The 26,899-nt window shown below is 44.9% G+C and overlaps 2 protein-coding genes across 3 annotated transcripts in view, besides 5 other annotated features; both read right to left on the bottom strand.

The window, feature by feature from the left end:
• Positions 1-26,899, bottom strand: part of ZNF69 (zinc finger protein 69) — a 92,441-nt gene that overhangs the window by 28,708 nt on the left and 36,834 nt on the right. The window lies entirely within an intron of this gene.
• ZNF700 (zinc finger protein 700) lies at positions 752-26,408 on the bottom strand. Of its 2 annotated transcripts, none has more exons than NM_001271848.2 (4): positions 26,242-26,408; positions 4,208-4,343; positions 3,941-4,001; positions 752-3,239 (listed from the first exon to the last, which is right to left on the bottom strand). In NM_001271848.2, the coding sequence occupies exons 1-4, from the start codon at positions 26,302-26,304 to the stop codon at positions 1,262-1,264; spliced, it is 2,238 nt and encodes a 745-aa protein (NP_001258777.1). In that variant the 5' UTR covers positions 26,305-26,408; the 3' UTR covers positions 752-1,261. The 2 variants fall into 2 exon arrangements, with proteins under 2 accessions (NP_001258777.1, NP_653167.1); NM_144566.3 differs by having other exon boundaries at positions 4,208-4,334.
• Positions 1,597-1,826: a silencer, noted in NCBI's record as "fragment chr19:12060504-12060733 (GRCh37/hg19 assembly coordinates)". NCBI's record gives its function as "represses an EF-1alpha promoter that drives an FKBP-Casp9 reporter gene in an ReSE screen in K562 erythroleukemia cells {active_cell/tissue: K562}" and the evidence as "EXISTENCE:reporter gene assay evidence [ECO:0000049][PMID:32094911]".
• Positions 25,946-26,145: a silencer, noted in NCBI's record as "silent region_10135". NCBI's record gives its function as "represses an Ori minimal core promoter by ATAC-STARR-seq in GM12878 lymphoblastoid cells {active_cell/tissue: GM12878}" and the evidence as "EXISTENCE:reporter gene assay evidence [ECO:0000049][PMID:35858748]".
• Positions 26,193-26,765: an enhancer, noted in NCBI's record as "H3K27ac hESC enhancer chr19:12035565-12036137 (GRCh37/hg19 assembly coordinates)". NCBI's record gives its function as "activates a minimal SCP1, AML or CMV promoter by ChIP-STARR-seq in primed H9 embryonic stem cells {active_cell/tissue: H9 hESC(primed)}" and the evidence as "EXISTENCE:reporter gene assay evidence [ECO:0000049][PMID:30033119]".
• Positions 26,536-26,645: an enhancer, noted in NCBI's record as "active region_14039". NCBI's record gives its function as "activates an Ori minimal core promoter by ATAC-STARR-seq in GM12878 lymphoblastoid cells {active_cell/tissue: GM12878}" and the evidence as "EXISTENCE:reporter gene assay evidence [ECO:0000049][PMID:35858748]".
• Positions 26,696-26,745: an enhancer, noted in NCBI's record as "active region_14038". NCBI's record gives its function as "activates an Ori minimal core promoter by ATAC-STARR-seq in GM12878 lymphoblastoid cells {active_cell/tissue: GM12878}" and the evidence as "EXISTENCE:reporter gene assay evidence [ECO:0000049][PMID:35858748]".

Below are 26,899 nucleotides of genomic sequence, written 5' to 3'. Positions count from 1 at the left end.
GCTCATGTCTGTAATCCCAGTACTTTAGGAAGCCGAGGTGGGCAGATCACGAGGTCCGGAGTTTGAGACCAGTCTGGCTAATATGGTGAAATCCCATCTCTACTAAAAAAATACGAATACTAGCTGGGTGAGGTGGGGCACGCCTGTAGTCCCAGCTACTCAGGAGGCTGAAGCAGGAGAATCACTTGAACCTAGGAGGCGGAGGTGGCAGTGAGCTGAGACTGCGCCACTGCACTCTATCCTGGGCGACAGAATGAGACTATCAGAAAAAAAAAAAACAAAAACCAGCAAAATTAGGGTTGAGATAAAAAATAAGTACATAAGCATGAAAAGTAAAATTTCTTTCTTTTTTTTTTTTTTTTTTGGAGATGGAGTCTTGCTCTGTTGCCAGGCTGGAGTGCAGTGGTGTGATCTCTGCTCACTGCAACCTCCGCCTCCCAGGTTCAAGCGATTCTCCTGCCTCAGCCTCCCGAGAAGCTGGGACTACCGGTGCGCGCCACCATGCCCAGCTAATTTTTGTATTTTTAGTAGAGACAGGGTTTCACCACGTTGGTCAGAATGGTCTTGATCTCTTCACCTCGTGATCCGCCTGCCTTGGCCTCCCAAAGTGCTGGGATTACAGGCGTGAGCCACTGTGCCCGGTGCAAAAAGTAAACTTTCCATGAGGAAAAAGATGCCTGGCATTTTATCCACATGGTAATACTGACTCACAATGTCCAAATAATAACAATGTAACATTATAAGCTTGATCTAATACATAAAACCAATGGGATATTTTATTATACCTTCTTATTTAAAAAGAATAACATGTTAGTATACTTATGATAATTGTTTACATTAATTATCTGTATTCAAAGAATCTTGGCAGATCTGAAGGCTTTCCCATACTGCTTACATTCATAGAGTTTCTCCCAAGTGTGAACCCTTCCATGCCGTTGAAGGTGCGAGGCACATCTGAAGGCTTTCCCACATTGCTTACATTCATAGGGTTTCACTCCAGTGTAAGTCCTTTCATGATATCAAACGGAACTAGAATACACTCATAGGGTTTCTCTCCCGTGTGAGTCCTTTCATGACATTGAAAAGAAGTAAAAGGAATGAAGGCTTTCCCACACTGCTTACATTGATAGGGTTTCTCCCCAGTGTGAGTCCTTTCATGATATCGAAAAGAACTGGAAAATGTGAAAGTTTTGCCACATTGCTTGCATTCATAGTGCTTCCTTCCAGTGTGAGTCTATTCATGTCCATAAAAGGAACCAGGCTAGCTGAATGCTTTCCCACAATCCTTACATTCATATGGCTTCTCTCCCATATGAGTCCTTGCGTGTATATGCAAGGAAGAAAAATAATTGAATGCTTTTCCGCATTCCTTACATTCATAGTGTTTCTCTCCAATGTGTGTTCTTGCATGTATTTGAAGAATCTTGGCAGATGTGAATCCATTCCCACAATGCTTACATTCATAGGGCTTCTCTCCTCTGTGCTTCCTTTCATGTATTTGAAAAGAAGAGAATTTACAGAATGCTTTTTCGCATTCCTTACATTCATAGGGTTTCTCTCCAGTGTGAGTCCTTTCATGCATCTGAAGGTTTGAGGCAGATCTGAAGGCTTTCCCACATTGCTTACACTCATAGGGTTTCTCTCCAGTGTGAGTCCTACCATGCTTTCGAAGGTTTGAGGCACAACTGAAGGCTTTCCCACATTGCTTACACTCATAGGGTTTCTCTCCAGTGTGAGTCCTTTCATGCATTCGAAGGTGTGAGGCAGATCTGAAGGCTTTCCCACATTGCTTACACTCATAGGGTTTCTCTCCAGTGTGAGTCCTTTCATGATATCGAAGGGAATTGCAACATCTGAAGGCTTTACCACATTGGTTGCATTCATAGGGTTTCTCTCCAGTGTGAGTTTTTTCATGTGTTTGAAATGACTTGGCAGAATAAAAGCCTTTCTCACATATACTACATTTATAAGGTCTTTCTCCAGAGGGCATTCTTATGTGTTTTTCTGTCCTTTCATGAATTTGAAGGTGCTTCACATATCTGAAGGCTTTCCCACATTCCTTACATTCATAGGGTTTCTCTCCAGTATGAGTCCTACCATGCACTCGAAGGTGTGAGGTAGATCTGAAGGCTTTCCCACATTCCTTACATTCATAGGGTTTCTCTCCAGTGTGAGTCCCACCGTGCACTCGAAGCTGTGAGGCAGATCTGAAGGCTTTCCCACACTGCTTACACTCATAGGGTTTCTCTCCAGTGTGAATCCTTTCATGATATCGAAAGGAACTGGAAAGATTGAAGGCTTTACCACATTGCTTGCATTTATAGCGTTTCTCTCCAGTGTGAGTTTTTTCATGTGTTTGAAATGACTTGGCAGAATAAAAGCCTTTCCCACATATCTTACATTTATAAGGTCTTTCTCCAGAGTTCATTCTTATGTGTGTTTGAAAACTTATAAGATAGGATAAGCCTTCCCCATATTGCTTACATTCATACGGTTTTTTCCCAGAGTGGGTCCTTTCATGTCTACGAAGAGAACTGGTATATGCAAATGCTTTTCCACATTCTTTGCATTGATAAGGCTTCTCTCCCATGTGACTTCTTTCATGTCTATGATAGGAACTAGAACTATGAAATGCTTTATCACATTTGCTACATTCATAGGGCTTCTCCCCAGTGTGAGTTCTTTCATGTATTTGAAGGGTAGCAGAATAAGTAAAGGATTTACCACATTGTTTACATTCATATGGTTTCTCTCCAGTGTGAGTTCTTTCATGGATAAGATATAAACTGAAAGAATGGAAGGCTTTCCCACAAAATTTACATTTATAAGTTCCATCCCCACTGTGCATTACCATGTGTCTTCGAATGCTTGAATGGAAAATAAAGGTTTTTCCACAGACTTTACAAGCATAGGGTTTCTCTCCAGTGTGATCCCTTTCTTGTGTTCTAATGGATGGGCGATACCTGAAGGCTTTCTTATTTTTAGGTTGTTGACACTTATATGGCTTTGGTCCATATTCCTGATACTCATATGCCTTGTGTCCAGTGTCACCTCTGATGCTCATATTAAAAGATGAGTTACCTATGCCAACTTCTGCACACACAAAGCTGTCACATGATTTTACTTCAGGAGAAGCTTTCTTCTCCTGGAAGTTCAGTCTGTCATCTGGAACCTGGGTAAAAGTTTCTCCACAATGACTGTCTTCTTTAATTTCATTGACTTTCTCTTCTATGAGACTCCTGTAAAACATGAGAAACACATCATGAAGGGTTTGTTTACAAGTACTTCTATATTAATCAACAAGTATTGCACTTGCATTTTTAACACTGTCCATCAAAGTGTAGGCTTTCTGCCCTGTCTGAATCGTTTGAAGGTGACTGGACATGTTCTACAAGATGACCCAGCCATACCTATTGTTTAAAAAAATATTCATAAGGGGCTTCTTAATAGTATTCCCATGTAAACTATTTTACAATTACTAAATACTGTATGTCATTTTTCTTTTGAGTCCAGTTCTTGTCCTGTTGCCCATGCTGGAGTACAGTGATATCATCATAGCTTACTGCAGCCTTTAACTCCTGAAGTCTCGAGTGATCCTCCTGCCTTCGCCTCCTGAGTAGCTGGGACTACCGATGCATACACACCACAATGCCCAGCTAATTTTTTGCTGTTGTTGATATGTGGTCTCGTTATGTTGCACAGGCTGTTCTGGAACTGATGGCCTCAAGCTATCCTCCTATCTCCACTTCTCAAAGGACTGGGATTACAGGAGTGAGCCCTCAGCCTCAGTCACGTTTAAATATATGTTTTTTGAGAAAATATTCTAAGAAGAAATGAATTTGATGCTGGATTTAGTTCTTTGTTTTACTTCTCTTCAACATATTCTCATATTCTAAGATTGTGCAGAGAGACACTGCTTTCTCTTGGAAATGCAAATTACCTGAAGCTTCTTCTGGGGTTTTGGTACTCATATTCAATGTTCTGGTCACTCCATTTTTTTCCTAAAATACAGACACAGAAAAATAGTCCTGAAGCAGTATAAAATTGTGAAAAAATTATTAGATTCTGTGCCCATGATTTACTGCAGCCATGCCTCATTTATTCATCAAGGTATTTCCTGTCTATGTTCAAAATCACTCAACAGCATTCATGAGCTAGAAACACTGGTTTGCTAATGCACTGACGGAAGGAATATTGTCATCCTTACCTATAGAGGTCAGGTTCCTGAAAGTTTCCAGCATCACTTCCCTGAAGAGATTCTTCTGGGAAATATCCAGCAATGTCCACTCTTCCTGGGTGAAGTTCACAGCCACATCCTCAAAGGCCACTGGGTCCTGAAACATCTCACATGTGTAGAGGAAGATGGGTGAGAGTGACAGCACTGGAGGCCTAGACTCTATTCCCAAGAAGTTCTCAGGATGCTGTGGACTCCAAACATTTATTCCCTGCTTCGGTTATCAGATCCCTTTCTCTCCATCTATACTTACTTTCTTCCATAAAGCAATTTATTTATTTATTTATTTTTTGAGACAGAGTTTCACTCTTGTTGCCCAGGCTGGAGTACAATGGCGTGATATTGGCTCACCACCGGGGTTCAAGCGATTCTCCTGCCTCAGCCTCCCGAGTAGCTGGGATTATAGGCATGTACCACCACGCGTGAGTGACCTTTACCCTTTCCCTCTTGTAGTGTGAGTGTTGTCTTGTCTCGAAAGAAAAATGGGTCAGACACAAAGTAAGCCCACCCCACTAGGAACTATGTTATAAAAAATTTCAAAAAGGGATTTAAGGGAGACTATGGAGTTACTATAACACCAGGAAAACTTAGAACTTTGTGTGAGACAGACTGGCCAGCATTAGAGGTGGGTTGGCCATCAGAAGGAAGCCTGGATAGGTCCCTTATTTCAAAGGTATGGCACAAGATTACCTGTAAGCCAGGGTATCCAGACAAGTTCCTGTACACAGACACTTAGTTACAGCTGGTTTTAGACCCCCCACAGTGGTTGAGAGGACAGGCAGCAGCAGTGTTAGTGGCAAAGGGACAGATAGCCAATGAGGGATCTCTCCCCACCCGCCAAGGGAAGTCAGCTCCTAAAGTTCTATCTGACCCAATGTCAGAGGACCCATGGCAGGAAATGGCACAGCAATGCCCCCCGTCCTTACCTAGAAGAGAGACTCCCCACTCCTGAGCCCACAGCACCTGTGCCTCCTCTGGACAGATACACCCCTAGACCACCCAGAACAGACAAGAGAGAATGTGAAGCTGCGGGAGAAACCCCTCCCTTGGCAGCTCATTTACGATCTAAGACTGGAAAGACAAGTGCCCCCAGTTAAAGAAGAAACAAAATGGCTCCAAGCCAGAGGTCTCAGGCAAGGATGAAAGGGCCTTGTTTAATCTGGCAGAAGGGCTACTGGACTAAGGGGGACCAGGCTCAGGTGCCCCTAACGAGCCCATGGTCAGGATGACAGTCAGGGACAAGGACATAGAGTTTCTTGTCGATACTGGTGCTGAATATTCAGTAGTAACCACCCCGGTCACCCCCTTATCCAAAAAGACTATTGATATAATCGAAGCCACACGAGTCTCGGCAAAACAAGCTTTCTGCTTGCCCTGCACTTGTACTATAGGGGTACATGAAGTAATCCACCAGTTCTTGTACATGCCCGACTTCTCCTTGCCCTTGCTGGGAAGGGACTTGCTTAGCAAGCTGAGAGCCACCATCTCTCTTACAGAGCACAGCTCTTTTACAGCTAAAGTTACCCGGAAAGGGAGTCATCATGGCCCTTACTGTCCCCCAGGAGGAGGAATGAAGACTTTTCTTAACCGAGCCAGGTCAAGAGATAAGACCAGCTCTGGCTAAGTGATGGTCAAAGGTGTGGGCAGAAGACAACCCTCCAGGGCTGGCAGTCAACCAAACCCCCGTACCTACAGAAGTTAAGCCTGGGGCCCAGCCGGTCAGGCAAAAACAGTACCCGGTTCCCTAGAGAAGCTCTTGAAGGAATCCAGGTCCACCTCAAGCACTTGAGAGCCTTTGGAATTATAGTCCTTTGCCAGTCTCCATGGAACACTACCCTCCTGCCTGTTCCCAAGCCAGGGACCAAGAACTACAGGCCAGTACAGGACTTGTGCTTGGTCAATCAAGCTCAGAAAGAAAGCAGGTCATCTGCAGCCTATTGCAACCTAAAACCAGAAGGCAGGTGAGAGAATTCTTAGGAGCAGTAGGGTTCTGCAGACTGTGGATCCCAAACTTTGCAGTACTGGCCAAACCTCTATATGGGGTCACAAAGAGGGGTGCTGGGAACCTTTTGAATGGGAATCCCAACAACAGTGAGCCTTTCATGAGTTAAAGGAAAAACTTATGTCAGTCCCAGCCCTGGGGCTACCTAATCTAACAAAGCCTTTTACACTGTGTCAGAAAAAGAAAAAAAGGCAGTTGGAGTTCTAACCCAGACTGTGGGGCCCTGGCCAAGGCCAGTGGCCTACCTTGTACCCACTTATTCTAAAGAAGAAAAGGACTTTCTCCAGGCAGAGGGAGGACAGGTGATGGAAGAAGGATGGATGTGGTTACTGGATGGGAGAGTAGCTGTGCCACAGCTGCTGGGAGCCACAGTCATACTGGCTGTGCATAAAACCACCCATCTAGGCCAGGAGTCACTTCAAAAGTTGTTAAGCCGGTACTTCTACATCTCACATTTATCAGCCCTTGCTGAAACAGTGGCACAGCGATGTATTACCTGCCAACAACACAATGCAAGGCAGGGTCCAACCGTCCCGGCTGGCATACAAGCTTATGGAGCAGCCCCCTTTGAAGATCTGCAGGTAGACTTCACAGAAATGCCAAAATGTGAAGATAACAAGTATTTACTAGTTCTTGTGTGTACATACTCTGGGTGGGTGGAAGCTTATCCAACGCGAACTGAGAAAGCTGGTGAAGTAACCCGTGTGCTTCTTCAAGATCTTATTCCTAGGTTTGAACTGCCCTTACGAATTGGCTCAGATAACAGGCCAGCGTTTGTGGCTGACTTGGTACAGAAGACAGCAAAGGTATTGGGGATCACATGGATACTGCATGCTGCCTACCAACCTCAGAGTTCCGGAAAGGTGGAGTGGATGAATTGGACTATCAAAAATAGTTTAGGGAAAGTGTGTCAAGAAACAGGATTAAAGTGTGTACAAGCTCTCCCTGTGGTATTAAGATTAAATTTACCCCTTCTAGAAAAACAGGATATTCCCCTTATGAAATATTATATCATAGCCCTCCTCCCATAGTATGGGGACTTCCAGGCACTCCCTGAGAATTAGGTGAAATTAAGTTACAGCGACAGCTACAGGCCTTACGAAAAATTACACGAACAATCTCAGCCTAGGTAAACGAGAAACGCCCCATTAGCTTATTCTCCCCAGTTCACCCTTTCTCCCCAGGTAATAGAGTGTGGATCAAGGACTGGAATGTAGCCCCCTTGTGCCCATGGTGGAAGGGACCACAGACCACTCACACCACCGTGAAGGTAGAGGGAATCCCGGCCTGGATCCACCACAGTCATGTAAAACCTGCAGCTCCTGGGAGGCAGGACCAAACCTGGAAAACCCCTGCAAAGTGACTCTGAAAAAGACGACAAGCCCTGCTCCTGTCACACCTGGAAGCTGACTGGTCTATGTGCGGCCAAAGCATGAGGAAACTCATCATGGGACTTATTCTCCTTAAAATTTGGACTTGTAGAATAAGGACTTCAACTGATTTTCCCCACATGGAAGATTGTTCCCAGTGTATTCATCAGGTTACTGAGGTAGGGCAACAAGTTAAAACAATCTTTCGGTTTTCTAGTTATTATGAATGCCTAGGAACTTTAAAAGGAACTTGCCTGTATAACACCACTCAGTACAAAGTGTGTAACCCAGGAAATGCCCGACCTGATGTGTACCATAACCCATCTGAGCCTCCCATGATCACAGTCTTTGAAATAAGATTTAAAAACTAGTTCTTTTCTAGGTAATAGAAGTAAAAAAAATAGCTAAAACAGAAAAAAAAGAGACCCCCATTTACATGCTCAACCGGATCATATGGTTACAAGCTATCTTAGAAATAATCACTACTAAAACTGGCAGAGCTTTAACTGTTTTAGCCCGGTAAGAAACCCAGATGAAAAATGCTATCTATCAAAATAGACTGGCCCTAGACTACTTGCTAGCAGCTAAAGGAGGGGTCTATGGAAAATTTAACCTAACCAATTGCTGTCTGCATATAAATAATCAAGGGCAAGTAGTCAAAAACATAGTTAAGGACATAACAAAGTTGGCACATGTGCCTGTACAGCTTTGGCATGGGTTTAATCCTAAATCTGTATTTGGAAAATGGTTTCCAGCACTAGGAGGATTTAAAACACTTATAATAGAAATAATAATAATAATAGAAACCTGCTTGTTACTCCCCTGCTTGCTACCTGTGCTCCTTCAAATAATGAGAAGCTTTGTCACTACCTTGGTCCACCAAAATGTTTCAGCACAAGTGTATTACATTAACCACTATTGATCTGTCTTGCAGGAAGACCTAGGTAGTAAGGATGAAAGTGAGAACTCCCATTAATAAGTGAGATTCTCAAAGGGGGGAATAAGGAAGGAGACCACCTCTCTTATTGTCTCATACCTCAGAACAAGAAAGAGGAAGCAAAAGTTAAAGGAAGGCAGAAATGAGATCAATAGTCAGACAGCCCGGTGCCACACCCCAGGCCTGGTAGTTAAAAATCAACTCCTGACCTAACCACTTGTATTATCTATAGATTCCAGACATTGTATGAGAAAGCACTGTGAAAGTCTTTCTGTTCTGCTCTGTCCTGTTACCGATGCATGCAGCCCCAATTACACACTCCATCCTTGTTTAATTGATCACGATCCTTTCATGTGGATCCCTGTGTAAGCCTTCAAAAGGGGCAGGAATTTCTCTCTCTCTGGGAGCTCGGTTTTTAAGACGCAAGTCTGCTGACGCTCCTGGCCGAATAAAGCCACTTCCTTCTCTAACCCAGTGTCTGAGAGGTTTTGTCTGCGGCTTGTCCTGCTACAAATCCAGGGAGAAAAACGAGCTGCCTGGGCTGTCCCTAATGTCTCTTTGGACTGTGGGTCTGTAGCACCTGTCATAACGGAGTCCTATGAATTAATAGGCAGAAAAAAGTTAACATTAGCAGTCCTGAGGCTGTGTTTCCTTGAAAATGCCTGTTCCCAAAGTGTAATCTTTGATGACATTGTTAGAGAAGGCAGATAGCTAGCCAAGAGCAGGAGGGGAAGTCCAGGGGAAAGCCCACACCCCCAGGGACCACCCAAAACAGGCATGCTAGATATAAGCAGAGAGGAGGGGAAACACCTAAGTAGAAAGAAACATCCATTATGATGCCCAGGAATCATTCACTTTGCAGTTATCCTGTCAGAATGCAGCTAGATAGATGCTGGTAAGAAGGGCAAAGGAAAGGGGACATTCCTAAGCAAAACCTGGCACCCTAAGTGCACAAGAGGCCAAACGAGAAACTCCTAAGAGATACCAGGTGTAATAAGCACAGATTCAACCACTATACAACCTTCCTGGGGTGGCAGTAATGAGCAATGCAGCCACCCACATATCCACTGACGGCTGAATGGATAAACAAAATGTGGTAAGTATATACATACTGAGAGGTGACAGCATGCTGGCAGTCCTCACAGCCCTCGCTCGCTCTTGGCGCCTCCCCTGCCTGGGCTCCCACTTTGGCGGCACTTGAGGAGCCCTTCAGCCCACTGCTGCACTGTGGGAGCCCCTTTCTGGGCTGACCAAGGCGGGAGCCGGCTCCCTCAGCTTGCAGGGAGGGGTGGAGGGAGAGGCGCGAGCGGGAACTGGGGCTGCGCGCGGCGCTTGCGGGCCAGCTGGAGTTCTGGGTGGGCGTGGGCTTGGCGGCCCCGCACTCGGAGCAGCCGGCCGACCCTGCTGGCCCTGGGCAATGAGGGGCTTAGCACCTGGGCCAGCGGCTGCAGAGGGTGTACTGGGTCCCCCAGTAGTGCCAGCCCACCGGTGCTGCGCTCGATTTCTCACCCGGCCTTAGCTGCCTTCCCACGGGGCAGGGCTCGGGACCTGCAGCCCATCATGCCTGAGTCTCCCACCTCCTCCATGGGCTCCTGTGCGGCCCGAGCCTCCCCGATGAGCGCCGCCCCCTGCTCCACAGCACCCAGTCCCATCAACCACCCAAGGGCTGAGGAGTGCGGGCGCATGGCGCGGGACTGGCAGGCAGCTCCACCTGCAGCCCTGGTGCAGGATCCACTGGGTGAAGCCATCTGGGCTCCTGAGTCTGGTGGGGACGTGGAGAAACTTTATGTCTAGCCCAGGGATTGTAAATGCACCAATCGGCACTCTGTATCTAGCTTAAGGTTTGTAAACACACCAATCAGCACCCTGTGTCTAGCTCAGGGTTTGTGAATGCACCAATCGACACTCTGTATCTAGCTACTCTGGTGAGGCCTTGGAGAACCTTTATGTCTAGCTCAGGGATTGTAAATACACCAATCGGCACTCTGTATCTAGCTCAAGGTTTGTAAATACACCAATCAGCACCCTGTGTCTAGCTCAGGGTTTGTGAATGCACCAATCGACACTCTGTACCTAGCTATTCTGGTGGGGCCTTGGAGAACCTTTATGTCAACACTCTGTATCTAGCTAATCTGGGGGGGACGTGGAGAACCTTTGTGTCTAGCTCAGGGATTGTAAACGCACCAATCAGCGCCCTGTCAAAACAGACCACTCGGCTATACCAATCAGCAGGATGTGGGTGGGGCCAGATAAGAGAATAAAAGCAGGCTGCCTGAGCCAGCAGTGGCAACCCACTCGGGTCCCCTTCCACACTGTGGAAGCTTTGTTCTTTTGCTCTTTGCAATAAATCTTGCTAGTGCTCACTCTTTGGGTCCACGCTGCTTTTATGAGCTGTAACACTCACCACAAAGGTCTGCAGCTTCACTCCTGAAGCCAGCGAGATCACGAGCCCACCAGGAGGAACGAAGAACTCCAGACGCGCTGCCTTAAGAGCTGTTAACACTCACCACGAAGGTCTGCAGCTTCACTCCTGAGCCAGCGAGACCACAAACCCACCAGAAGGAAGAAACTCTGAACACATCCAAACATCAGAAGGAACAAACTCCAGACACGCCACCTTAAGAGCTGTAACACTCACCGCAAGGGTCCACGGCTTCATTTTTGAAGTCAGTGACACCAAGAACCCACCAATTCCGGACACAATACATTGAAATATTATTTATACTTAGAAAATAACATCTTGGCCGGGCACTGTGGCTCATGCCTATAAGCCCAGCACTTTTGGAGGCCGAGGCAGGTCGATCACCTGAGGTTGGAGTTGGAGACCAGTCTGACCAACATGGAGAAACCTTGTCTCTACTAAAAATACAAAATTAGCCAGGTGTGGTGGCACATGCCTGTAATCCCAGCTACTCAGGAGGCTGAGACAGGAGAATTGCTTGAACCTGAAAGGCAGAGGCTGCGGTGAGCCGAGGTTGTGCCACTGAACTCCAGCCTGCTGTCTCAAAAAAAAAAAAAAGAAAACGTCTTGTTACATACTACAACATGCGTGAAACCTCAGGATAATTGCAATAAGCAAAATACAATAGAATTCATCTTACAGAACTTATGTAGATTTGTCAAACTATCTCAAGTGTACGTGTAAAATTCCTTAAGCTGGTAAGTTTTAAGTTTTGTTTTCCAATAAGTAATGATAATAAATCATGGTAGCAGCCAGGTGTGGTGACTCATGCCTATAATTCCAGTACTTTAGGAGGCCAAGGCAGGTGCAATTATGGAGGTCAGCAGTTTGAGACCTGCCTGGCCAACGTGGTGGAACTCCATCTCTACTAAAAATACAAAAATTAGCCAGGCGCAACAGCATGGTACTGGTACCAAAACAGAGATATAGACCAATGGAACAGAACAGAGCCCTCAGAAATAATACCACACATATACAACCATCTGATCTTTGACGAACCTGACAAAAACAACAAATGGGGAAACGATTCCCTATTTAATAAATGGTGCTGGGAGAACTGGCTAGCCATATGTAGAAAGCTGAAACTGGATCCCTTCCTTACGCCTTATACAAAAATTAATTCAAGATGGATTAAAGACTTAAATGTTAGACCTAAAACCATAAAAACCCTAGAAGAAAACCTAGGCAATACCATTCAGACATAGGCATGGGCAAGGACTTCATCACTAAAACACCAAAAGCAATGGCAACAAAAGCCAAAATTGACAAATGGGATCTAATTAAACTAAAGAGCTTCTGCACAGCAAAAGAAACTACCATCAGAATGAACAGGCAACCTATAGAATGGGAGAAAATTTTTACAATCTACCCATCTGACAAAGGGCTAATATCCAGAATCTACAAAGAACTTAAACAAATTTACAAGAAAAAATCAAACAACCCCATCAAAAAGTGGGCAAAGGACATGAACAGACACTTCTCAAAAGAAGACATTTATGCAGCCAACAGACACATGGAAAAATGCTCATCATCACTGGCCATCAGAGAAATGCAAATCAAAACCACAATGAGATACCATCTCACACCAGTTAGAATGGCAATCATTAAAAAGTCAGGAAACAACAGGTGCTGGAGAGGATGTGGAGAAATAGGAACACTTTTACACTGTTGGTGGGACTGTAAACTAGTTCAACCATTGTGGAAGACAGTGTGGTGATTCCTCAAGGATCTAGAACTAGAAATACCATTTGATCCAGCCATCCCACTACTGGGTATATACCCAAAGGATTATAAATCATGCTGCTATAAAGACACATGCACATGTATGTTTATTGCGGCACCATTCACAATAGCAAAGACTTGGAACCAACCCAGATGTCATAGGCTAGATTAAGAAAATGTGGCACATATACACATGGAATACTATGCAGCCACAAAAAAGGATGAGTTCATGTCCTTTGTAGGGACATGGATGAAGCTGGAAACCATTATTCTGAGCAAACTATCTCAAGGACAGAAAACCAAACACCGCATATTCTCACTCATAGGTGGGAACTGAACAATGAGAACACTTGGACCCAGGGAGGGGAACATCACACACCGGGGCCTGTCATGGGGTAGGGGGAAGGGAGAGGGATAGCATAAGGAGATATACCTAATGTAAATAACGAGTTAATGGGTGCAGCACACCAACATGTCACATGTATACATGTGTAACAAACCTGCACATTGTGCACATGTACCCTAGAACTTAAAATATAATATTAAAAAAAAATCAGCCAGGTGTGGTGGTGTGTACCTGTAGTCCCTGTTACTTGGGAGGCTGAGGCAGGAGAATCATTTGAACCTGGGAGATGGAGGTTGCAGTGAGCCAAGATCATGCCACTGCACTCCAGCCTGGATGACAGAGTGAGACTCCGTCTCCAAACGAACAAAAAACGACAAGAATGAATAAATAGAGGCAGAAAAGGTATCTGACAAGCCTTAGCCCATTTATGAGTAGTGTTCCATTTTTGGAACGCTAAGCATGTGGGAGTTATTTATATCCTACTGTTCAAGGTTATTGCCAAAGTCTGATTTCTCACACATCTGCAATTCAAAAAATTGCAATCTCCAGCATAAATGGGTTAATATCTCCTCATGATTAAAAACACTCAATGAACTATACAAGAGAAGATTCCATAAGATGACAGAGAGGCACAAGGAACGTAGAAAAATCTATAGGCCAGGTGCGGTGGCTCACACTTGTAATCCCAGCACCTTGGGAGGCTGAGGCAGGCAGATCATGAGGTCAGGAGATCGAGACCATCCTGGCTAACATGGTGAAACCCCGTCTCTACTAAAAATACAAAAAATTAGCCAAGCGTGGTGGTAGGCACCTGTAGTCTCAGTTACTCGGGAGGCTGAGGCAGGAGAATGGCTTGAACCTGGGAGGTGGAGGTTGCAGTGAGCCGAGATGGCGCCACTGCACTCCAGCCTGGGTGACAGAGCGAGACTCTGTCTCAAAAAAAAAAAAAAAAGGAAAGAAAAAAAGAAAAATCTACTATAAAGACATGTATTAAAAATTCAAAACCAGAGGCCAAGGCAGACAGGTCATTTGAGCCCAGCAGTTCGAGACCAGCCTGGGCAACATAGGGAGACCCCGTCTCTGTAATAAAATAAATAAATAATTAGACATGGTGGCATACAACAAATGGTACTGAAACACCTGGATTAGCAAATGCAAAGAAATGAATTAGATACAGAACTTCACCTTTTACAAAACTACCTCCTAATGAATCATTTACTTAAATGGAAAATGCAAAACTCACAACTTCTAGAACGTAACACTTGTGAAAACCATGACAACCTTGGATTTGGCAATAAGGTTTCACACACAACACAAAAAGCATGATCTGTGAATGAGAAAATCGATAAATTGGACTTCAAAGTAAAACTGTCAGTACTGGGACCAAAACAGATATATAGACCAATGGAACATAACAGAGGCCTCAGAAATAACACCACACATATACAACCATCTGATCTTTGACGAACCTGACAAAAACAACAAATGGGGAAACGATTCCCTATTTAATAAATGGTGCTGGGAGAACTGGCTAGCCATATGTAGAAAGCTGAAACTGGATCCCTTCCTTACACCTTACACAAAAATTAATTCAAGATGGATTAAGACTTAAACGTTAGACCTAAAACCATAAAAACCCTAGAAGAAAACCTAGGCAATACCATTCAGGACATAGGCATGGGCAAGGACTTCATGACTAAAACACCAAAAGCAATGGCAACAGAAGCCAAAATTGACAAATGGGATCTAATTAAACTAAAGAGCTTCTGCACAGCAAAAGAAACTACCATCAAAGTGAACAGGCAACCTATAGAATGAGAGAAAATTTTTGCAATCTACCCATCCAACAAACGACTAATATCCAGAATCTACAAGGAACTCAAACAAACTTACAAGAAAAAAACAAACAACCCCATCAAAAAGTGGGCAAAGGACATGAACAGACATTTCTCAAAAGAAGACATTTATGCAGCCAACAGACACATGAAAAAATGCTCATCAACACTGGTCATCAGAGAAATGCAAATCAAAACCACAATGAGATACCATCTCACGCCAGTTAGAATGGCAATCATTAAAAAGTCAGGAAACAACAGGTGCTGGAGAGGATGTGGAGAAATAGGAACACTTTTACACTGTTGGTGGGACTGTAAACTAGTTCAACCATTGTGGAAGACAGTGTGGCGATTCCTCAAGGATCTAGAACTAGAAATACCATTTGACCCAGCAATCCCACTACTGGGTATATACCCTAAGGATTATAAATTATGCTACTATAAAGCAATATTCACTATTCACAATAGCAAAGACTTGGAACCAACCCAAATGTCCACCAATGATAGACTGGATTAAGAAAATGTGGCATATATACACCATGGAATACTACGCAGCCATAAAAAAGGATGAGTTCATGTCCTTTGCAGGGACATGGATGAAACTGGAAATCATCATACTCAGCAGACTATCACAAGAACAGAAAACCAAACACTGCATATTCTCACTCATAGGTGGGAACTGAACAATGAGACCACTCGGACACAGGGCAGGGAACATCACACACCGGGGCCTGTCAGGGGCTGGAGGGCTGGGAGGAGGATAGCCTTAGGAGAAATACCGAATGTAAATGACAAGTTGATGGGTGCAACAAACCAACACGGCACATGTTATACCTATGTATCAAACCTGCACGTTGTGCACATGTACCCTAGAACTTAAAGTATAATTTAAAAACAAAACAAACAAAGTAAAACTGTCTGTTTTGGAAATGACTTTGTTAACAGAATAAAAAGGTGACAGACTGGGACAAAATAATTGCAGAACGCCTATCTGGTGATGGACTGGTATCCAAAAGGTATGAAGAAGTCCTAAAATTCTATAAGAAAAAAAACAACCAATCAAAAAAGAAGCAAAAAGCCAGGCACAGTGGCTCATGCCTATAATCCCGGCACTTTGGGAGGCTGAGGTGGGTGGATCATCGAGGTCAGGAGTTCGAGATCAGCCTAACATGGTGAAACCCAGTCTCAACTAAAAATACAAAAATTAGTTGGGCCTGGTGGTGTAAGCCTATAATCCCACCTACTCTGGAGGCTGAGGCAGATGAATCACTTGAACCTGGGAGGCAGATGTTGCAGTGAGCCGAGATTACACCACTGCACTCCAGACTGGGCAACAGAGCCAGACACAGTCTCAAAAAAAAAAAAAAAAAAAAACAAGATCTTTCCAAGTATACCTCCCCACAAAGACAGTAATTTTTTTTTTTTTTTTTTTGAGACGGAGTCTCGCTCTGTCGCCCAGGCTGGAGTGCAGTGGTGCCATCTCGGCCCACTGCAAGCTCCGCCTCCCGGGTTCATGCCATTCTCCTGCCTCAGCCTCCCAGTAGCTGGGACTATAGGCGCCCGCCACCATGCCTGGCTAATTTTTTCTATTTTTAGTAGAGACGGGGTTTCACAGTGTTAGCCAGGATGGTCTTGATCTGACCTCCTGATCCACCCGCCTTGGCCTCCCAAAGTGCTGGGATTACAGGCGTGAGCCACCGCACCCGACCAAAGACTGTAATTATGGCAAACATATGACAGGATGCTCTACATCACGTGTCATTAAAGAGCGAAATGAAAACAGGCCGGGCGCAGTGGCTCACGCCTGTAATCCAGCACATTGGGAAGCCGAGGCAGGTGGATGACCTGAGGTCAGGAGTTTGAGACCTGCCTGGCCAACATGGTAAAACCTCATCTCTACTAATAATACAAAAATTGGTCAGGAGAGGCAGCGCACGCCTGTAATCCCAGACACTCTGGAGGCTGAGTCAGGAGAATCGTTTGAACCTGGGAGGCAGAGGCTGCAGTGAGCTGAGATTGCGCCATTGCACTCCAGCCAGGGAAACAAAAGCGAAACTGCATCTCCAAACAAACAAACAAACAAACAAAGAAAAAAAGAAAAAAAAGAAAACAATGAGGCAGCAGCAAATACCTGGTGCAGTAGCTAAAATCCAAAACACTGACACTTCCTAATGCCAATGACAATGAACACTCATTCACTATCGATGTGAATGGAAAATTCTACAGCCAATTCGGAAGACAGTCTGCGGAGGTCTGAAGAAAATAAGCATGGTCCTACTGATTCAGTAGTCTCAATCCTACAATATTGACCCAAATGAACTGAAAACTGATGTCCACACAAAAGTCCTCCCACAGACGTTTTTAGCAGCCTTACTCATAACTGCCAAAAACTAGACTCAAACAAGGTGAGTCTTTTTTTAAAAAAAAATAGATGAGGTCTCACACTGTATCTACCAGGCTGTTCTCTAACTCCTGGCCTCAAGCAATCGTCTCACCTCTGTCTCCCATGTAGCTGGGAATTTAGGGATGAGGCATCACACCAGGCTCAAGATGAGCCTTTCAGTAGGTGAATAAAGAAACTATGGTAACACCCATCCAACGTAATGTTACTCAGTGATGAAAGAAAATGAGTGGCCGGACATGATGGCTCACAAGTGGAATCCCAGCACTTTGGGAAGCTGAGGTGGGAGGATCACCTGAGCTGGGGTGTTTGAGACCCTGTCTCTAACAAAACAAAAACAAATTTTTTTTTTTTTTTTTTCTGAGATGGAGTCTTGCTCCGTCACCCAGGCTAGAGTGCAGTGGCGCCATCTCAGCTCACTGCAAGCTCCGCCTCCTGGGTTCACACCATTCAAAAACAAAATTTTTTTTAGATAAATAAATAAAAATAAAAAATACATGAGTTGTCAAGCAACAAAGGTATCGAGAGACCTTCAATGCATATTTTTACATCGAGGAAGCAAGTCTGAAATGGCCACTTACAGCATCATTCCAAATATTTAATATTCTGGAAAATGCAAAACCGAGGCAGGAACATTATCATTTGTTGCCAGGGATAAATAGGGGTGGCAGAAGAGGGAGGGGAGAGCTATGATTAGGAAGAGCACAGGGGATTTTGAGGCCTGTGACACGCTTCTGTATAAGACTGTGATGGTGGATACATGACACACGTAGTTGTCTTAAACCACAGCCCAAAAAGAGTGAAGTTTCATGTAAAAGATGGACTTTAGGTAATAATAATATTGGCTTCTTCAATTTTCATCGTGTTCACATGTAATATATTCTTGCATCAATTATAGGATACACTACACACAGTCAATATGGTTTCCTTGGTTTAAAACATTTTTTTTTTTTTTGAAACAGGGCCTTGCTATGTTGCCTAGGCTGGCCTCCAACTCCTGAGTCCAAGCTATCCTCCCATTTCAGCCTCTCTAAGTGGTAGAATTACAGGTATGAGGCACAGCACCTGGCCAGTCAAGATGTTTAAAATAGGGGGAACTATGAGCTTGGAAGAAAAATGAGGGAACTCTGGATTATCTGCTCAATGTTTTGGGTAAACAACCACTGTTCTAAATAATAAAATCAACTAAATAAGAAAGTGAATTAACTATCATTCCATGTAAGGTTCATAACTGAGTTTAAATAAAATCCAATATAAAATATCACATATTGGCCGGGTGCAGTGGCTCACGCCTGTAATCCCAGCACTTTGGGAGGCTGAGGCAGGCGGATCACGAGGTCAGGATATTGAGACCATCCTGGCTAACACGGTGAAACCCCGTCTCTACTAAAAATACAAAAAATTAGCCGGACGGGGTGGCGGGTGCCTGTAGTCCCAGCTACTTGGGAGGCTGAGACAGGAGAATGGCGTGAACCCGGGAGGCGGAGCTTGCAGTGAGCCGAGATCACGCCACTGCACTCCAGCCTGGGCGACAGGGCAAGACTCTGTCTCAAAAAAAAAAAAAAAAAAAATCACATATTGGTTTGCATAAAAAACATGCAAAAATAAAATATACTGATGTGGATGGGTACCCAGGTTGGGGAAGTATAAAGAAAAGTAAGGCAGTTATCGTTCACAGTACTGACTCCATCAATATTTGGATTCATTGTGCAACTCTTTTATGTATTTTGTGCATATGTAATACTTTTAGTTAGTTTCTAGAATGCACACTCTATACAGAAATAAATCTCAGTGAATTTTAATTATCAGCAACAACAGCATAGCATATTGAAACTAATTTTTTTGTGTCTTTTCTTTTTTCTTGAAACAGGGTCTCGTTCTGTTACCCAGGCTGGAGTGTAGTGGTGCAATCATAGCTCACTGCAGCCTTGAACTCCTAGGCTCAACAGATCCTTCCACCTCAGTCTCCTGAGTAGCTGGGTCTACAGGCGCACATCACCATGACCAGGTAAGTTTTTGTATAGACAAGGTTTGCCATGTTGCCCAGGCTGGACTAATTTATTTTCTTTCTTTTTTTTTTTTTGAGACAAAGTTTCACTCTTGCTGCCTGGGCTGAAGTGCAATGGCACGATCTTGGGATCTTGGCTCACTGCAACCTCCACCTCCCAGGTTCAAGCGATTCTCCTGCCTCAGCCTCCTGAGTAGCTGAGATTACAGGCCTCTGCCACCACGCCTGGCTAATTTTGTGTTTTTAGTAGAGATGGGGTTTCTCCATGCTCGTCAGGGTGATCTTGAACTCCTGAACTCAGGCTATCTGCATGCATTGACCTCCTAAAGTGTTGGGATTATAGGCGCGAGCCACCGTGCCTGGCCACTAATTTTAAAACTAATTTTCTTGAAGTCCAAAAAAGTCTCAAGAAGGATAAAAAATGATTATTATGCAAAAAGTTTATACTGAAAAACATCAGTATAAAATGCAATAAATGGAAAAATGCCATGTGTCCTTAAAAGGAGATTAAGTATCACTATGATGTAACCTCTCTGAAATATGCCTACAGTTATATTTTATGAAATTTACAGTGCAGTTTGTTTCCCTCACTAAAATTAAGAAAAAGGTACTTCTAAAGACTGAAATAGAAGACAATGACTAAAAATAGACAAGATCCTCTATAGAATATTGTTGGGAGGTGTTATGGCATGAATATTTGCATCAATCCAAAAAAATCATACATTAATAACCTACTCCCAATATAGTATTAGAAGGTGACATCTCTGGGAAGTAATTAGGATTAGATGAGAGCATAGGAGTAAATCCTTTCTGAATGAGATTAGTGCTCTTATAAGAAGACACAGGAGAGCCGGCTTCCTCTCCTCTGTCATGTGAAGAAACCACAAGAAGACGATCATTTGCAAACCAGGAAGCGGGCCCTTGCTGGACACTAGATCTGCCAGCTCTCTGAAGATGGACTTCATGACCTCAAGAACTGCCAGAAATAAATGTTTATTCTTTAAGTCACCCAGTCTATGGTAATTTGATATAGCAGCCCAAGATGACTAAGATAGAGAGGCACTATCCCTACTACACACTGCAGCTTTGTACTCTATACTAATTAAGAGAAAGTGGTATTAACAGACAGATGGAAAGATAGACCAATGGAAAACAGCAAATTGTGAAACGAGGGCATCTATGTTGTTTTTTTTTTTTTTGAGACGGAATTTTGTTCTTGTTGCCCTGGCTAGAGAGCAATGGCGCAATCTCGGCTCACTGCAATCTCCACCTCCCAGGTTCAAGTGATTCTCCTGCCTCAGCCTCCCGAGTAGCTGGGATTACAGCCATGCACCACTATGCTTGGCTAATTTTGAATTTTAATAGAGATGGAGTTTCACCATATTGGTCAGGCTGGTCTCAAACTCCTGACCTCAGGTGATATGCCAGTCTCAGCCTCCCAAAGTGCTGGTATTACAGGCGTGAGCCACCACACCCAGTCTGGGCATCTATTTAAGGTAATGTGAAACTATGACAAACCAGGTATTGTCAGCCAATGATACAAGTGGTGAACACTTAACAGAAAAAGCAGGGACAAATGGTTATCTACAGGAGAATAATCAATCCACTACCTGTCATCTCCATATACAATAATTTAATTAATTCTAGAGTTGCCGGTTATAGTGAGTTCTTATATTGATATGTTACCTTAGCATGCATTTTGATTATAGATTTAACATTCTCATAACAGAAGTAAACTTTACTCAAACTCAACAGAGTTTCCAGTTCTACACCTCCTCCCAGTTCCTCCATGTGGTCAACTCACATATATTTGTTCCACAACTGCATTCTGGTGACCACCTCCCTGTAGGACAGCTAAATACAACCTTGTTGGGGTGGCCTTTCCTTGTCTTTTGGGATATTTCTCTCTTCACAGTTGAGACAATCCAAAGGACAGGAATCATTTCTGTTTTTCCTCAATAGCAACATCCAATTAGCTGATTGGCCATGTGTCTCCAATTAATGGAAACTGAAGTTAGGAGAGAGAAGGTGAGCACCCACGAACTGGGTATCTAGATGAAAAGTATACCAGGCATCTCCTCCACCACTAGTCATTCAGCTGCTCCCTTGGGAGGCCCCACTCCCCTAGGCACAGATACCCACTAGACCCTCCAAGAGACATGGCAATTGTGGGGGTCTTGGGTCAGCTACAGGCAGTTCTAAAACTCAAAATCTGGAAAAGATAGGAGGGTGTACTGAAGACATATCACCCTGCAAAGTTTCCATAAAGGAACCTCATCCCAAAGACATCCTGATAAGGTGTCTGTGTCTAGGAAAGATAAAAGGAGGAGAGGCAGAAAGGATTTTTCAGGCAAATGTCTAGTGGTTATTCTCTGCTTTCCTCTCATGTGAAATGTTCAGAAACAGATTTCACTGCAAGCCCTTGAAGAGTTAGGCTGTGGTATGAGGGTGGAGGATTTGAGATCCGGCATCCCATATATTTGGAAAATATAAGGGGGAACCAGTTGCCCTGGAAAGTGTGGAAAAATTTAAATAACAAGCAATGAGACTGAACTGTGTGTAGTGTCCTAAGGTCCTACCTAAGGACCCTGAAATCGAATTTAAATACAACTCTCAGAAATTACTAATGTATAGGGAAATAAAATTCATGCTTAATCAGGCACAATTTACCTATTACCTTGGAATTACATACCTAGAAATTTTCTACCTACATAGGCTGTTTGAACAAATGAGTCAGGCCGGGCGCAGTGGTTCACACCCGTAATCCCACCATTCTGGGAGGCCAAGGTGGGTGGATCACTTGAGGACAGGAGTTGAGACTAGCCTGGCCAGTGTGGTAAAACCCTGTCTTTACTAAAAATACAAAAATCAGCTGAGTGTGGTGGCACATGTCTGTAATCCCAACTACTTGGGAGGCTGAGGCAGGAGAATTACTTGAACCCAGGAGGCGGAGGCTGCAGTGAGCTGAGATCGCGCCTGCACTCCAGCCTGGGTGACAGAGTGAGACCCTATCTCAAAACAAACAACAAAAACAACAAAGTAATTCAAAAATTTAAGCTGGTAGATCTTTAAATTATCTTGAAGCAATGTGATCATGGGGTTGAGTGACCTGACACACAGCTTTCACATAGCTAGCTGGAATCCTCCATTCCCTGATTACAGATTCGCCTTCTTTCCTACCTATAGCGTTTTGTAAAATGTTGTAAATGACTGAAGGGAAACAGGAAAGACCCTTTCCCTCTCCACTATTTTTTTTAACTTATATTAATATGATTTTTCACAAATGAGATGGGGTCTCAATATGTTGCCCAGGCTGGTCTTGAACTCTTGAGATCAAGCCATCCACCTGCCTTGGCTTCCCACAGTGCTGGGGTTACAGGTGTGAGCCATCCTACCAGGCCCCTCTTCACTACTGATCTCTGTAGTAAGACTACAGAGACTACTTTCTTTTTTTTTTTTTTTTTTTTGAGACGGAGTCTCGCTCTGTCGCCCAGGCTGGAATGCAGTGGCGGGATCTCGGCTCACTGCAAGCTCCGCCTCCCGGGTTCACGCCATTCTCCTGCCTCAGCCTCCCAAGTAGCTGGGACTACAGGCGCCCGCCACTACGCCCGGCTAATTTTTTGTATTTTTAGTAGAGACGGGGTTTCACCGTTTTAGCCGGGATGGTCTCGATCTCCTGACCTCGTGATCCGCCCGCCTCGGCCTCCCAAAGTGCTGGGATTACAGGCGTGAGCCACCGCGCCCGGCCCAGAGACTACTTTCTCACACAAAGATTTCATGGCTATCAGATTGTCTTCAGATGGAATGTTAAATTCACTCTTAAATTGAAAAGGAAATAAAAACCAGCTAGAAAGAAAAGAAAACAAGCTCTGGGGGAAAAAAGTAAACCATTACGAATTAAGTTGTTAGCCAGGTGCAGTGGCTGATATCTGTATCTGTAATCCCAGCACTTTTGGAGGCCAAGGAAGCAGGACTGTTTGAGGCCAGGAGCCAGAGACCAGCCTGGGCAACATAACGAGACCTAACCTCTGTAAAAAATAAAAAATTAGCCAGGTGTGCTGGTGGGCAATTGTAGTCTTAGCTACTTGAGAGGCGGAGGTGCTTGAGCTGGGGAGGTCAAGGCTGCAGTAAGCCATCATCGCACCACTGCTCTAGGCTGGGTCACAGAGCAAGATACTGTCTCAAAAAAAAAAAAAATTGTTGTATCTCATACATCAGCCTTCTATGGAAAACATAATCCTGTTACATTTATTTGCCTTTTGCCTATACAAGTGTTAGGGAAGCAGGTGCCTAGGGGAGCCAGAGTAACACCAATTTAAGTTCAGCTCCATCTTGACACTAACAAGAAACACTCCTTGTCAGTCACAACCCATGATCACAAAATGTTTCCCATGAAGAAAACAGCCTGAAGATGCCTGCAAGTATCCTTACACTCCCACAACAATAGAATGTCCTGATGTCCCAATACCTATAACAATATGTGCTTTCAAGATAATTATAGTTATGTTTTAATGCACTTGGGTGCTAAAATGTAAAGGATAGTTTTCTTTAAATCAACAGAGTAATAAATTTTGTGATGCTGTCAGCCCACATGCACATAGGCACAGGTAGTTTATTCTTTACATAGAAAAGATCCCTACATAAGAAAAACTTAAAGACAGTACGTTCCTCCACTTGCTGTATGAGGATGCCCTACTCTGAAACAGAGAAGCTTTTTCTTTCTTTTTCCTTTTCTATTTATTTATTTATTTATTTATTTATTTATTTATTTATTTAAATAGAGACAGGGTCTCGCTGTGTTGGCCAGGTTGGTCTTGACCTCTTTCCTGTTTGTTTTGGTTTTTGAGATGGGGTCTCACTCTGTTACCCACACTGGAGTGCAGTGGTACATCCTCGGCTGGGCTGCAACCTCTGCCTCTGGGGTTCAAGTGATTCTCTCACATCAGCCTCCTGAACACCTGGGACTACAGGTGCAGGCCACCACACCCGGCTAATTTTTGCTAGTTTTGGAAGAGATGGGGTTTCACTATGTTGCCCAGGCTGGTCTCGAACTCCTGACCTCAAGTTATCCTCCCACCTTGGCCTCCCAAAGTGCTTGGATTACAGGCCTAAGCCATCATGCTGGCCCAGAGTAGCTTTCAATAAACTCTCTTCTCACTGCACTTTGTGACTCGTCTTGAATTCCTTCCTGTGTGAGATTCAAGAACTCTCCTGGGGTCTGATCAGGACCTCTTTTCCTGGTAATACAAGCAAGAACTTAACTTCCAGTTTTGGAGTACTGAGTCTATTTCCCTAGAGTCTGTGTTTTTCCCAAATGGGCCACTGCTATCCTTCCGCTTGAATAAACTCTTCCAACTGAAATCTTGACCTTTCTATTATTTCGGAGTGACAAGTCCAAATAAGGCAACTGCATCTCTGCAACCAATCAAGCATTTATCTGGTTTGTCTCCTCACGTAACTTATAAAAGCTTACCCCTAAACTGGTAAACTAAAAATAAAAACATACCTCTGGCCCGGCGAGATGGCTCACATCTGTAATCCCAGCACTTTGGGAGGCTGAGGTGGGTGGATCACTTGAGGTCAGGAGTTCGAGACCAGCCTGGCCAACATGGTGAAACCCCATCTCTACTAAAAATACAAAAATTAGGAGGGCATAGTGGTGCATGCCTGCAATCCCAGCTACTCAGGAGGCTGAGGCAGGAGAATCACTTGAACCCGGAAGGTGGAGGTTGCAGTGAGCCGAGATCAGGCCATTGCACTCCAGTCTGGGCGACAGGAGACTCCGTCTCAAATAAAAACAAAGTACCTTTCCAGCTAAGTGAAGTGACCGGCTCTTGGCCAACAGGACCCGCAAAAAACCCTGAAAATTGAGTGCCTCTGTATGACAGGATGGGAGGTGAGACAGGTCTCCTTATACCCTCTCCCACACATTCATGTAAAAATAGATAGAATGGAAAAACAGACTGCTTGTGGCAAGAAGATACTAACTTACAAACAAAACCTAAGGCCACGCAAGGCAAAAGTAAAGTCACGCCTCAGAATTCATAAAATCTAGAGAAACAGGTCTGTTTTCTGGCTGGGATGGAATCAAGTGGCAGATAACAGACCCCCTTCCTTCCTACCTCCTCCAAACTTTAGACAAACTTCACACTCTCAACCAGCTGCCACCTACAGAATCCCTCAACCACCTGTGCCTTCTAACCCCCCTTCCACAGGTCCCACCCTTTCTGCCAATGGAACTTACACCTTTCAGGCACTGATTCATCATTTTCCCTGCAATTCCTGTCTCTCTGAAATGAATAAAACCAAACTGTCTTGAGCCGCCTCGGGACCACTTACTCCAGGCTGCTTGGGGTTGTGTTTCCCTCGGCCAAGGTCTCTCCTATTCGGCTCTGAATAAACTTCTTTATTTTACATAGTTTGGCTTTTTCCGTTGACAAACCACAACCCAGGACGGGGTGTTTCTCATTCGTGAATCGCTGTTTGCTCAAATGAACTCTTTAATTGTTAACGTACCTCAGTTTAATTTTTAACAGGAGAAAGTGGGGACTGGGGGCCCCACAGACCACTGCTCCTCCCACGCACGAACCCCACACCCGAGTCAGGATGCCTCCATGACCCTCCCGTTGCTTCCGCACAATCTGGGGAGACGCGGGGCTGCGGGAGCGGAACTGCCCAGAGAGGGCTCCGGGGCAGGGGCCGCGGCCGCAGTCGCCGCGCAGGGACGGGACAGGACGCCCGGGTCCTGGCTGCTGGCCCAGCCCCGTCCAGCGGCCAAGGGGACCGAGGGCCGAACTGCTCAAGGAGGACTCGGTCCCAGACCCCGGAGTCGCCCACAGGGAGGCCCGGGTCCCGCCACAGCCGGTTCCCGCCTGTTCCAGGCAGCCCCTCCCCCGTCTCACGACATCTGGTCCCGCACACGCACCATTTCCCGGCTTTCAGATGTACCGGGGTCCTCTCTACAGCTCCTGTGACTACAGCAGGGCATAGCGCAGGCGACAGAGCGACAGAAGCCTGGGTACAGGCACCAGGTCCCTCTCGGGCTGGTCTGACCGGTTACCAACCGCCGCCCGCGCAGCGAGGAAGGTGAGGAAAGCGACCCCCTCCATTTCCGGATGAACTGTGGGCAGTGCCACGCCCCAGCACCTCTGATTGGATGAAATACTAGGTCCCGCCCCCCACATCTGAGTGACAGCTGAAGCCCTGGGTATCAGGCCCCGCAGAGCCAGACTGACGGATTCTAGCCACAGCTTCTCTAAGGGCGAGCTGCTTTCTGCACTCTGGTTATTGGATATTTGCATTTCAGCCAAACTTGCTATTGATAGAAGAGAACACTAGCGTCATCCTCACTCAAGGGACAGTCCCCGCTCCTTCGTTCTGCACGGGGTCACAGGAGTGTGCAGGGAATTTCAGACTCAGTGTCCATAGGAGCCAACTGCTGGCCTCAGAGCAGCAGGGGAACCGAGACCAGGCCAGGCACGACTGCACCAGGAGGAGAGGCATATGTCCTCGAGCGGGCCGGAATTGGGGATGAGGCGTGGCCAAGCCTTGCTCACACACCCCCATCCCCTTGTGAAAATGCT

Source organism: Homo sapiens, chromosome 19 (assembly GCF_000001405.40).
Source record: "Homo sapiens chromosome 19, GRCh38.p14 Primary Assembly".
Taxonomy (NCBI): Eukaryota; Metazoa; Chordata; class Mammalia; order Primates; family Hominidae; genus Homo; species Homo sapiens.
Note: the sequence above shows the minus strand (reverse complement) of the source record. Positions and strands in the feature narration are given on the sequence as shown.

Bases quoted from the DNA above. Each gene is read 5' to 3' on its own strand.
- ZNF700 (NM_001271848.2), bottom strand. From the start codon at position 26,304: ATGCCCTGCTGTAGTCACAGGAGCTGTAGAGAGGACCCCGGTACATCT. The intron at 4,344-26,241 runs GTGCGTGTGCGG...TACACATGTGAG, and splicing joins CATCTGAAAGCCGGGAAATG to ATGTTTCAGGACCCAGTGGC. The intron at 4,002-4,207 runs GTAAGGATGACA...TCTGTATTTTAG, and splicing joins CAGGAACCTGACCTCTATAG to GAAAAAAATGGAGTGACCAG.